This window comes from Homo sapiens, chromosome 6, assembly GCF_000001405.40.
Source record: "Homo sapiens chromosome 6, GRCh38.p14 Primary Assembly".
In the NCBI taxonomy this organism is placed as follows: domain Eukaryota; kingdom Metazoa; phylum Chordata; class Mammalia; order Primates; family Hominidae; genus Homo; species Homo sapiens.
Genome location: NC_000006.12, coordinates 30,980,970 through 30,993,652, shown reverse-complemented (window position 1 = coordinate 30,993,652; position 12,683 = coordinate 30,980,970). Strand labels below are relative to the sequence as shown.

Here is a 12,683-nt window from a genome sequence, read left to right as displayed (position 1 = left end):
TCTGGGATGTGAGGAGCCCCTCTGCCTGGCTGCCCAGTCTGGAAAGTGAGGAGCGTCTCAGCCCGGCCGCCATCCCATCTAGGAAGTGAGGAACACCTCTTCCTGGCCGCCATCACATCTAGGAAGTGAAGAGCGTCTCTGCCCGGCCACCCATCGTCTGAGATGTGGGGACCGCCTCTGCCCCGCCGCCCCGTCTGGGATGTGAGGAGCGCCTCTGCCCAGCCGCGACCCCGTCTGGGAGGTGAGGAGCGTCTCTGCCCGGCCGCCCCGTCTGAGAAGTGAGGAGACCCTCTGCCTGGCAACCGCCCCGTCTGAGAAGTGAGGAGCCCCTCCGCCCGGCAGCCGCCCCGTCTGAGAAGTGAGGAGCCCCTCCGCCCGGCAGCCACCCCGTTTGGGAAGTGAGGAGCCTCTCCGCCCGGCAGCCAACCCGTCCGGGAGGGAGGTGGGGGGGTCAGCCCCCCGCCCGGCCAGCTGCCCCGTCCGGGAGGTGAGGGGCGCCTCTGACTGGCCGCCACTACTGGGAAGTGAGGAGCCCCTCTGCCAGGCCACCACCCCGTCTGGGAGGTGTACCCAACAGCTCATTGAGAATGGGCCATGATGACGATGGCGGTTTTGTGGAATAGAAAGGGGGGAAAGGTGGGGAAAAGATTGAGAAATCGGATGGTTGCTGTGTCTGTGTAGAAAGAAGTATACATGGGAGACTTTTCATTTTGTTCTGTACTAAGAAAAATTCTTCTGCCTTGGGATCCTGTTGATCTGTGACCTTACCCCCAACCCTGTGCTCTCTGAAACGAGTGCTGTGTCCACTCAGGGTTAAATGGATTAAGGGCGGTGCAAGATGTGCTTTGTTAAACAGATGCTTGAAGGCAGCATGCTCGTTAAGAGTCATCACCACTCCCTAATCTCAAGTACCCAGGGACACAAACACTGCGGAAGGCCTCAGGGTCCTCTGCCTAGGAAAACCAGAGACCTTTGTTCACTTGTTTATCTGCTGACCTTCCCTCCATTATTGTCCTATGACCCTGCCAAATCTCCCTCTGCGAGAAACACCCAAGAATGATCAATAAAAAATAAATAAATAAATAAATAAAAAGAAAGAAGAAAAAGAAAAAAAAAAAAAAAAACAGTCTTCACTACATGCACCTTCGATCTGAATTTTTCCACTGAAGTTTGCTAAGTCTTTCCTAACAGAATACCTGTGCCTAAAATGTTTTCTGGAATAAGAAAAATAAACACCACATATGGGGCAGGGGAGCTTCCCCAATACCTAGATGTATTAAAGTCCTTCTCATCCAGATCGTTTGTCCCCATAACCAGTGATGGCAGACCATTGACCAGGGTGTATTTATGGATTTCCATGAATTAAAGTATATTCTGCCCTAGTATCTACTAAGGAAATAGTCTTCTCCTTATTTTTTTGAGAGGAACAGTAAATGGTGAGCTCAATATGGGGCCTCTGGTCACCTGCAACGTGGGGTTGACCTTGGTCCCACTGCTAATCTTGGGCCCAGCATGGAATCCCCCTCTGATAGGCTGGAGTATTAGAATGAGGGGTTGAGTCATCTTCCTCTTCTGCTAGAGGGGCAGAAATGAAGGGACAAAACAGCCCTTCAGTCTGTACTTCCCTCCATAAGGCTACTAACACAGCATTTTTCATATTTTCCATATTTTAACATTTTTTACATATTTTTTTCTCAGAATTTTTCTGCTCCCAATAAGTCATGCCACATTTGCCTGTTCTTGACTCTAGTTGGTCGCTTTCCCTTATTTTCCCCCTTCTTCCTGTGGAGCATTATCTTTCCCCTTTGTCAGCCCTTGCCGGGTTACAAAGCACACCCCGTCCCTAGCTTTCTCAGTAGCTCCCAAATCTGTGATGGCTTCTCCTACGTCATATACATCTTTTTTTTTTTTTTTTTAAGACGAAGTTTCGCTGTTGTTGCTCAGGCTGGAGTGCAATGGCACGATCTCGGCTCACTGCAACCTCCGCCTCCCACGTTCAAGCTATTCTCCTGCCTCAGCCTCCCAAGTAGCTGGGATTACAGGCGCCTGTCACCATGCCCGGCTAATTTTGTATTTTTAGTAGAGAAGGAATTTCACCATGTTGACCAGGCTGGTCTTGAACTCCTGACCTCAGGTGATCCATCCACTTCGGCCTCCCAAAGTGCTGGGATTACAGGCATGAGCCACCGTGCCCAGCCCTTTTTTTTTTTTTTTTTTTTTTTTTTTGAGACGGGGTCTCACTCTGTTGCCCAGGCTGGAGTGCAGTGCCCCAATCTCAGCTGACTGCAACTTCTGCCTCCTGAGTTCAAGCAATTCTCCTACCTCAGCCTCCCAAGTAGCTGGGGTTACAGGCACACCACCTAGCTAATTTTTGTATTTTTAGTAGAGATGGGGTTTCACCATATTGTCCAGGCTGGTCTCGAACTCCCGATCTCAAGTAATCCGCCTGCCTCGGCCTCTCAAATTGCTGGAATTACAGGTGTGAGCCCCTGTGCCTGGCCTTCCCACATCATATACTTCTTGTCCCATTTATAGGACTCAATAACATGAGCCAAGGGTTGTGCCATTCTCCTGGTGCACCCTTCAGCAATTTATTTTTCATCCCTGCAGGAAAAAACTGTTTTAAGTCCTGTGAGAACCCAAACATAGATGACTTGACTCATTCCTAATTCTTGGAGAAGCCCTTGGGCCTTTTCTGTTGACTGCCAGGAGGTCATCCTTCCCGGTAAATTTCCCTCATTAGGTCAAGCCTCCCTCATAGCTAGAATGAGCCAGTCCATAAGCTATGACTCCCTTGCGTCTGCCTTGCCTTAGCAAAGATGCTTCTGCAGGGCTGCATGGGTGGTGATGTTACTCATTTTTTCTGCTTCTCCTGTTAAGGAAATATCATCAGCCCCTGTGTCCCACAATCAGACCATCCAAGCAGCCAGGGATTTCCTCGGTAGTTGTTTAAAGGCCTTTGCAATCTCTAAGAGTTCTGCAGCGGTAGGTTCCCTGACAGTGAGAGTCTCCTGTATCAGCTGACCCCCGTTTTGCTGCCAATGTTAGGTTTCACTTTCCTTTGCATGAGACAGCGAGCTTGCCAATGATCCCCATCCCCCTCCACACCTGTGACTTCTATGTCATCAGTCTTCCTCTTCATAACAATCCCAGGGATTCCAAGTTTTCACATCCCGGTTGGGCTTTCTCATGAGAGCTCTGATTTTTGGTCATTTCCATATCTTTCGCCCTAGGTGGACAAATCTACATGCTAACATTTCAATTTTTGTCTCTTGGTCTTCAATTTTGTTTGCTAAGTTGGATGTGAGGAGAGACATGGAGAGGTACACGTCTTTTTCTAGTTGCAATTCCTTCTCTAGACATTTAATTTTGGCTTCTGCTGCTAGCCGGATCTTCATTGCCAAAAGAAGCACCCAACCCTCTGCAGTGGCTATTGGCCGACCTTCCGTACCCCAGTGCACTATGCGGCTTTCAGTTAATAACTGCTCTAGGCCACCTGGCATTTTCAAGGCATCCCTGCACTCACACAGAGGTACACAGGTATCGAACAGTTGTGCCATCCAACCCTACACAGACGTGGCTGCCGCCCTGGGGTTTCCTTACAGATGCTTCATTCTCCTTACCCATTCCTTGTTCTCCCAGCTACTGGCTGGGGGATCACCAAATGTTCTACCATGAACAGGTCTACACAAACCTACCCCTAAATTTTGAGGGGAAAAGAGATCAAAGAAAGAGACTGACAAATCCAGTTTCTCACAGAGAAATATTTAATGGAGTCTTCCAAAGAGAAGTGATGTCTGAGGTGGCCACAAGATGGTGGATTCCCACACTCCCTCTCCAAAAAATATCCTTTCTAGAGTAAGCTTTTAGGGGAAAACATGTGCAACTGGTCACATCACAGACTTTCTTGCTGAAACCCATGACTGCTGGGGAGGTTAGATAAGCATCTTTGTGAGAGGTTAATTACGCTACAGGCATTGTTTTAAAGCCCTTGATACAGAACACCTTGGTATGCAGGAGTCAGACATTGGACATCTGGCGAGGTGCAGTGGCTCACACCTGTAATCTCAGCATTTTGGGAGGCCAAGGCAGGAGGAGTTCAAGGAGGCCAGGAGTTCAAGACCAGCTTGTGCAACAGAGTGAGGCCCTGTCCCTACAAAAAATTCTAAAAATTAGCCAGGCATGGTGGCACACGAAACTGTAGTCCCAGCTACTCAGGAGGCTGAGGCAGGAGGATTGCCTGAGCCCAGGAATTGAAGGCTGCAATGAGCTATGATTGCACCACTGCAAAACTCCATCTAAAAAAAAAATGGCCATTGTGGTGGTTTCACTTCAAGATGGTATCACTCTTACCATGCAACAGGCTGTTTTCCTATAGCCGCATTGGTAAGATCCAATTCTTTGGTTTGCTGACACTGGAGAAACCCAATAAGTGGTGGAAGATGGAGCAGTTTCTACTGCTGTGAGTTGGGGTGAACCCACCAACAGACTGCTAATTCTCTGCTGAGGGCTCTGTCCCAAGTAGGAGCCCTCCATTACCTTGTGGGCTCAAAGCAACTTAGCCTCTAAAGCAGCTCCCCTCTGTCTTCCAAGACCTGGAGGACCCTCTTCCCTGGACTCATGAAAGGGATACGTGCAGCTCTTCTGGGCGGGGATTTATGAGAATCTCGGGTCTTTGCAAGAGCCTCTTGGAAGATTCGACCTCAGCAGGCCAGAAAGTCTTTCCCTTGGGAAACCAGGGAGCACTCAGGGAGATGAGTGTCACCAGCTCCTCCACCCTGATGGGTAGTCAGGCCTGGAGCACATGGAAATGCCCTGGGAACCTCGACTTCAAGTGAATATGCGTACCCCCCTCCCCCCTCCCCCCCCACACACAGAGCAGGTAGTTGTAACGCCTCCACCTCATCCTGCTCTTGGCTCTTCATGTATCACAACCTAATCTCTGTGTACCACAGGCCTCACGCAGGAGCCCATAGCATGCTGGCACCCGCCCTCCCTCCTTATCTCTCCCAAGTCAATTCTCCAGCCAATCGGGGTGTCTCAGAGATACAGGGACCTTGCCTGGGGCAAAAAGGATTAGAAAATGCAGACACACAGATAAGAATGAGGTCTTTGGATTTTACTGTGGAGATTTTGAATGCCAGATGGAGTCCAGCATGGAGGTTTTCTCCTATAACTGAGTTCATCTCAGAGCTAGATACCCACCCCGGGGCACGCACAGCTTCTCTTTGTCGTGTGTGTTAGATGAGATGTATTTATTTCTTAGCTAAATGAGCAATATAGTATTCTCTTTCCAGTGTCTGGTAAAGGCAAGAAAGGTGAGGAATACCTTCTTCAAGATTTTCAGGATCTCAAACAAAGCTGGGAGGGGTCTCCTGGGATGAATGAAAGGAAACCAGGTCTTGGGTGCCCAGGTCTCTTCCTTCCTGAAGAATGCGGCACTTGCTTCCGGGGCTGCTCAGGGCCCGCTGTTCCTCCCGCTCATCTCCATGGCTATCGAGGATACTGGTCTCCTCCAGAACCAGTTAGGACTCCACCTGGGCCTGTGGGGGGCTCCATGATTCCCTCCAGGGCCTGGACCAAGGCCATGGTTGAGGCCATGAGGGTGGTAGACAGCTGTGTTAAAGGTGTTTCTCAGGGACAGGCTGTTTCTCTAAAAAAAGAAGAGTCAATAGTTTCAGAATTGCATCCCTGTCTCCCACGCCTTTACCACGTACGCCTTCTGGAATCTTCTCCCACTTCCAACCACACTCTTTACCTAGTTCTCCTTTCTCCAGTCCTTTCTGTGGCCCCCTTTTCCCGCAGGTCAGCAGCTTCCTCTGCATTGACCTACCATGTCTCTGTGTTACTCTTTCCTGATCTCCCTTCCTCCCTACCCACCCCTGACTTGAGACCCCTTCTATTCACACCCATTTCCTTGTGTTTCTGCTGCTCCTTCCCCCAGGCATTTTCTTACATATTAGGCACTCACCACACAGAAGAAGAGCCCAGCAAAGAGCCCCACGGCCGCCACAACCGAGACCAGGGTGATGAGGAAGATTTCCCACGGCACCAGGGACCCACCAGGCTTCGCCTCACTCACTGCAGTAGATGCACTATGGGAAGTTGTGTGCATTCCAGTCAGAGCTGCTGTTCCAGAGCCTGCAGAGGTCACACTGGACCCAGAGTTGGTGGCTGTGTTGGCCCCACTGGAGGTTGTGCTGGACTCAGAATTGGTGGCAGTGCTGGCCCCACTGGACACTGTGCTGGACTCAGAGTTGGTGGCTGTGCTGGCCCCACTGGAGGTCGTGCTGGACTCAGAGGTGGTGGCTGTGCTGGCCCCACTGGACACTGTGCTGGACTCAGAGTTGGTGGCTGTGCTGGTCCCACTGGAGGTCGTGCTGGACCCAGAGTTGGTGGCTGTGCTGGCCCCACTGGAGGTTGTGCTGGACTCAGAGTTGGTGGCTGTGCTGGCCCCACTGGAGGTCGTGCTGGACTCAGAGTTGGTGGCTGTGCTGGCCCCACTGGAGGTTGTGCTGGAGTCAGAGTTGGTGGCTGTGTTGGCCCCACTGGAGGTCGTACTGGACTCAGAGTTGGTGGCTGTGTTGGCCCCACTGGAGGGTGTGCTGGACTCAGAATTGGTGACTGTGCTGATCCCACTGGACACTGTGCTGGACTCAGAGTTGGTGGCTGTGCCGGCCCCACTGGAGGTCGTGCTGGACTCAGAGTTGGTGGCTGTGCCGGCCCCACTGGAGGGTGTGCTGGACTCAGAGTTGGTGGCTGTGCTGGCCCCACTGGAGGTCGTGCTGGACTCAGAGTTGGTGGCTGTGCCAGCCCCATTGGAGGTCGTTCTGGACTCAGAGTTGGTGGCTGTGCTGGCCCCACTGGAGGTTGTGCTGGACTCAGAGTTGGTGGCAGTGCTGGCCCTACTGGACACTGTGCTGGACTCAGAGTTGGTGGCTGTGCTGGCCCCACTGGAGGTTGTGCTGGACTCAGAGTTGGTGGCTGTGCTGGCCTCACTGGAGGTTGTGCTGGAGTCAGAGTTGGTGGCTGTGCTAGCCCCACTGGAGGTTGTGCTGGAGTCAGAGTTGGTGGCTGTGCTGGCCCCACTGGAGGGTGTGCTGGACTCAGAGTTGGTGGCTGTGCTGGCCCCACTGGAGGTTGTGCTGGACTCAGAGTTGGTGGCTATGCTGATCCCACTGGACACTGTGCTGAACTCAGAGTTGGTGGCTGTGCTGATCCCACTGGAGGTTGTATGGAACTCAGAGTTGGTGACTATGCTGACCCCATTGGAGGTCACGCTGGACCCTGAGATGGTGGCTGTGCTGACCCCACTGGAGGTCACACTGGACCCAGAGTTGGTGGCTGTGCTGGCTCCACTGGAGATCACACTGGATCCAGTGTTGGCAGAGGTGCTAGTCTCATTGGAATTTGTTGCTGAAGAAATCATATAATGACAAATATATATTGTGTGTATATACTTTCTGCTTATTGCTTGGCTAAATTCATTACATAATTTTATTTAATGCTCACTATGGTGCTATAACATAGATGCTATTATTATCACCAGCTGAGATGAAGAAATTGAGGCTTCAAAATGTTGATACTGGGCTGGGCACGGTGGCTCACGCCTGTAATCCCAGCACTTTGGGAGGCCAAGGTGGGCGGATCACCTGAGGTTGGGAGTTCGAGACCAGCCTGACCAACATGGAGAAACCCCATCTCTACTAAAAATACAAAATTAGCCGGGCATTAATTCCAGCTACTCGGGAGGCTGAGGCAGGAGAATCACTTGAACCCGGGAGGCAGAGGTTGCGGTGAGTCGAGATCGAGCCATTGCACTCCAGCCTGGGTGCCAAGAGCAAAACTCCGTCTCAAAAATAAAAAATAAAAAAAAGTTGACACTGGCCCAAGTTTACACAGCTAGTGAGTGGTGGAACAGGAAACTGAACCCAGGCTACTAAATCTGCACTTGTGGAGACTAAGCTAAGTCAACCACCCACCCACAATGCCAGAGTTACATCATCTAGTTTCACTGGTAGCTAACCTTTTTCCACATTCTGCTATGCAAGATACAATACAGATATAAAGTATTATAAAAGAATTATAGGACTAGGTGAAACTAGTATATACTGATCAATTTTTTTCTTAAGTAGTATTGCTTCCTTCTTGGAAAATATTTCTCAGAATAATATTCAGAACACACTTATTTCAGAATTACTTAAGGGAGCATGTTGAAAATATTCTTAAGCAAATCATTCCAGACTAAATGAATTAGAATTTGAGATGGGGCCCAGGAGTCTGCATGTACAACAAGAAGCCAGGTGACTATATGCATTCAAGTTCCAGGGGCCCTTGATCACTATGGCCAAGGCTAGAGAAGAACGAGTTATATGTAGCTCAAATACATAAGAGCTCCCAGGAATAAGGGCTGTAAACCAACGTCTAAAGGTAGAGGGAAGGCTTTTAACTTCTTGGAGGCTTGGCTGGAGTTAAGGTTATGTCAAATTTTTGCCCTTGATTTCCCAGAAGGATGAAGACATTCAACCTCCCCAGCCTGTACGTGGGAAGCTGACGAGGAATTAGGTGTAGGGGTAGGAGAGAAATTGAGTTTGTAGAATATAGAAGAGTGGTATTTTATTTTATTTTATTTTATTTTATTTTATTTTATTTTATTGCTTATTTATTTATTTGTTTTTGAGACGGAGTCTTGCTCTGCCGCCCAGGCTGGAGTATAGTGGAGCAATCTCAGCTCACTGCAACATCCGCCTCCCACGTTCAAGCGATTCTCCTGCCTCAGCCTCCTGAGTAGCTAGGATTACAGGCATAAGCCACCCCGCCAGGCTAATTTTTGTACTTTTAGTAGAGATGGAGTTTCACCATGTTGGCCAGGCTGGTCTGAAACTCCTGGCCTCAAGACATCCACCCGCCTTGGCCTCCCAAAGTGCTGAGATTACAGGCGTGAGCCACTGAGCCTGGCCTTATTTTATTATTTTATTTTTTTGAGACAGAGTCTCACTCCGTCACCCAGGCTGGAGTGCAGTGGCACCATCTTGGCTCACTGCAACCTCCGCCTCCCGGGTTCAAGCGATTTTCCTGCCTCAGCCTCCTGAGTAGCTGGGAGTACAGGGACAAGCCAACACACTCAGCTAATTTTTGTATTTTTAGTAGAGACAGGGTTTTGCCACGTTAGCTAGGCTGGTCTTGAACTTCTGACCTCAATGACCTGCCTGCCTCACCCTCCCAAAGTGCTGGGATTAAAGGCATGAGCCACCGCACCCCGCCAGAAGAGTGACATTTTAAAAGCAGCCGACTCTTCTTGTTCTTAATATTTAAAACCCCAACCATATTACACAGGTTGTTACCATTTTACAGATGCAGAAATCGAGGCGCAGAGAAGCAACTGACCTAAAGTACACAGTTAATAGATGGAGCCATAATTCAAATGTAGGCAATGTGAGACCAGAGCCCAATTTTAACCACTGTGTCTGACTGCTTCCTGCATGACATACCTTGTTAGGCTGAAGTGATTCGAGTAAAATGATGATCCTCACTCTATGGAAGAGAAGCAGAGCTGGCCCCAGTAGTGGTCACATTTCTCTCCCAACTCCTCAAAGGTTCTCAGACCACCCGATTTTAAATAAAATCACTCACCAGCTTCTAAATGCAATAGTAGACCAAACATAAGGAGAACATTTCCTTTCTGCATCTTCATCTGTCTCTTTGTGGCTGGAAAGCAAGATGCCTGGGTCCTAGATGTACCAAGACTTTAGAGGGCAAAGAACAGAGGATTCTTGAGAAAGGGGACTTGAAGGTGAAGAGATAAAGGCTGGTGCTTCCAGGAGCGTGGGTCTCCTACGTTTGTGTTCCTGGGAAGAATCTTGGACTCAGGCGTGGGCAGCTGGATGCCTGGGTTCCTTAGGCTTCCTCCAGGCAATGTAGTTGCCTCTTTCTCTGTTGTGAAAGAGCTGCAGGGGCCTTTATAGCTTCATATGGTCTGAGGAGGGGTGGGGCAGTTGACCTGACAGTCTGCCAACTACAGGCAGGTGAGAGAACGATACCAAGCCTGGGACGGAATAGAGCAGGGGTCAAGAGGAAGGTGAGAAAGGAGAATGACATGACCACACTAGGCAGGGTGCTTGGCTGGGTTGCAGCAGGAAGTAGAATGGGATGAGGAGATCATGGTTGTCAGAGTGGAAGGGACCCACCCTTTGAAGCAGGGATCGGGTTAGAAACCTGTTGCAGCTCAAGAATTTGTTTTCTGGTCAGGAAGTCCTGTGGGCCTGCTTTAGCATGAAAGAAGCCCTAATGAACTGAGCCAAGAGAGTAGGACCTCACATCTCTACAGCAAACAGTAATAGGTGACGCAAAAGAGACCAGTAACTAGGACTCTGGGCTCCTGGGTTATGGGCAGAAGACAAATGGAGTATTACTGAGTATGCAGTAAGCACTCAACAATGCACATTGAAGGAACAGGGGAAGAGAGATCCAGAAGACATAATGAAGAGAGATAATGAAAACATGTTTGGGGTCTCTGGGGCATGAGAACTGAGGGTGTGGGAGAGTATTGAATACGCCCCCTGTCAGACTCATAGCAGGAGAAGGAAGGTAGGGTCTCCTTCTGACCCTCAACCATAGGAGCTCCCCTCTGTTTTGTTTTTGTTTTCAGACGGCTGTATAGGAGCCTTTCCACCCTGAGATCCTTCTGATGTGCCTTAGCATCAGTTCCAAGGAAGCGTCTCTCAGGAGAGTACACACCTTAGGGAGAGACACAGTGCCATATCGGGACACAGTCTGATGGGAGGAGGGAGATCAACAGTCCAAGTCCTGGAGGAGGCTTGAATTTGGTCTGGACACTTGGGTATGGCCAGCAGAGGGGAAACAGTCAGCTAAAAGAGCGTGACTGAAGAGACCCAAATGAGCAGAGGGTTTGGGGAGGTCTGAGATGGCATCTGTGACCAGGCTGATGGGGTTCCAATATACAGTCTGTATTTTCTGTCATAGTCCATTGGTGTTGCTATAAAGGAATCCCTGACTGTGGGTGACATAGAGAAAAGAGGCTTATTTGCCTCACGGTTCTGCAGGCTGTATGAGAAGCATGGCACCAACGTCTGCACTGGTGAGGGCTTCAAAAAGCTTCCACTCGTGGCCGAAGGAGAAGGGGAGCCGGTTTGCACAGATCATATAGCGAGAGAGAGGAAGCTGGAAAGAAGGAATGGAGGAGGTGACAGGATCTTTTCAACAACCAGTTCTTGTGGGAACTAAGAGTGAGAACTCACTGGTTGAGAATGGCACCGAGCTGTTCATGAGGGATCTGTTTCAACCACCCAAACTCCTCCCACCAGGCTCCACCTCCAACATTGGGAATCAAATTTCAACATGAGACTTGGCAGGGTTTAACAACCACATCCAAACCATTGCAATGACCAAAGTGAGTTGTCTGCATTTCCCCCAACAATGACGAGAAGCTTCCTGGAAGACACAGTCTCTCAGATAGTTTATTTGTAGGCGAACGAGCTTTCCTGACATGCAAGTTCTGTTAGAAGGAAGCTGGCAAGCAGGAGGTGGCTGAAGACATGAAGGAGCTCTGAATGAGTGAGCTGGAGAAACAGAAAGGGTCAGCGGTGTGCTGGGAAAGGCTCAGAAGTGAGTCTGCCTAGTGGCTGTGATGGGAAGTTCCAGAGGGTCAGGTATGCGGGAACGCTCAGTGACAGGTTGGGTCCTGGACTCCCAGCAATTCTTCTGATGTGCCAGTATTCTGCAGCTGAAAAGCCAATAGCACTCTAAGAATTTTCTTCTTCCAGAATTATTTAGAAACTGAGATCCTGGATTCAAGTCCAAATTTCACCTTTTAGAGGGTACTCTGAAAATTGTAGCGCGCATACTTATCAGAGCCTAATGTAATTAATATCTTTACTCGCTATCAAAATAACACAAAGACCTCAGAACATTTTAATTCGTATTACCCATCTCCCAAATCATACCCTAATATCATCAAGTATTTTAATTCCTTCTTGTTTGTTAACTTCATGAAAGATTATTGTAAAAAAAAAATTATTGTTGTCTGCTTACACACCCTCAGCCTGAACGCAGTCACACAGCCATGTTAAGCTGCAAGAGAAACTGAGAAAGACTGTCTCTAGCTGGGTAGACGTGTGCTCAGCTGACACTTGAGAGATCTGTTGCTAAAGGTGGAGAATGGGTGTTAGCAGACAACCATAAAGCCGTGACATGATCCAGCAACCCCACTGCTGAGGAGGTAGCCAAAAGAAAAGAAATCAGTGTATCAAAGAAATATCCGCACTCCAACGTTTGTTGCAGCACTGTTTGCAATAGCTAAGATTTGGAAGTGTCTATTAATGGATGAATGAATAAAGAAAGTGTGGTACAGGCCGGGCGCAGTGGCTCACACCTATAATCCCAGCACTTTGGGAGGCCGAAGTGGGTGGATCATAAGGTCAGGAATTCAAGACCAGCCTGGCCAACATGGCAAAATCCCATCTCCACTAAAAATACAAAAATTAGCCCAGTGTGGTGACGGGCGCCTGTAATCCCAGCTACTCGAGAAGCTGAGGTAGGAGAATTGCTTGAACCTGGGAGACGGAGGTTGCAGTGAGCCAAGATTGTGCCATTGCACTCCAGCCTGGGCGACAGAGTGAGACTCCATCTCAAAAAAAAAAAAAAAAAAAGAGCCAGGCACGGTC

General features: G+C 49.3%; 1 protein-coding gene across 2 annotated transcripts, besides 2 other annotated features; it reads right to left on the bottom strand.

Moving 5' to 3' along the window:
* Window positions 364-1,127: an enhancer, noted in NCBI's record as "NANOG-H3K27ac hESC enhancer chr6:30960303-30961066 (GRCh37/hg19 assembly coordinates)". NCBI's record gives its function as "activates a minimal SCP1, AML or CMV promoter by ChIP-STARR-seq in primed H9 embryonic stem cells {active_cell/tissue: H9 hESC(primed)}" and the evidence as "EXISTENCE:reporter gene assay evidence [ECO:0000049][PMID:30033119]".
* On the bottom strand, window positions 3,750-9,935 carry MUC21 (mucin 21, cell surface associated). Of its 2 annotated transcripts, none has more exons than NR_130720.3 (3): window positions 9,492-9,935; window positions 5,972-7,416; window positions 3,750-5,653 (listed from the first exon to the last, which is right to left on the bottom strand). NR_130720.3 is itself a non-coding variant. In NM_001010909.5 (3 exons), the coding sequence occupies exons 1-3, from the start codon at window positions 9,692-9,694 to the stop codon at window positions 5,459-5,461; spliced, it is 1,701 nt and encodes a 566-aa protein (NP_001010909.2). In that variant the 5' UTR covers window positions 9,695-9,935; the 3' UTR covers window positions 3,750-5,458. The 2 variants fall into 2 exon arrangements, 1 of the variants encoding a protein (NP_001010909.2); NM_001010909.5 differs by having other exon boundaries at window positions 9,634-9,935.
* Window positions 5,619-6,818: an enhancer, noted in NCBI's record as "CDK7 strongly-dependent group 2 enhancer chr6:30954612-30955811 (GRCh37/hg19 assembly coordinates)". NCBI's record gives its function as "activates an origin of replication core promoter dependent on BRD2, BRD4, P300/CBP, MED14 and CDK7 cofactors, with strong dependence on CDK7, by STARR-seq in HCT116 cells {active_cell/tissue: HCT116}" and the evidence as "EXISTENCE:reporter gene assay evidence [ECO:0000049][PMID:35650434]".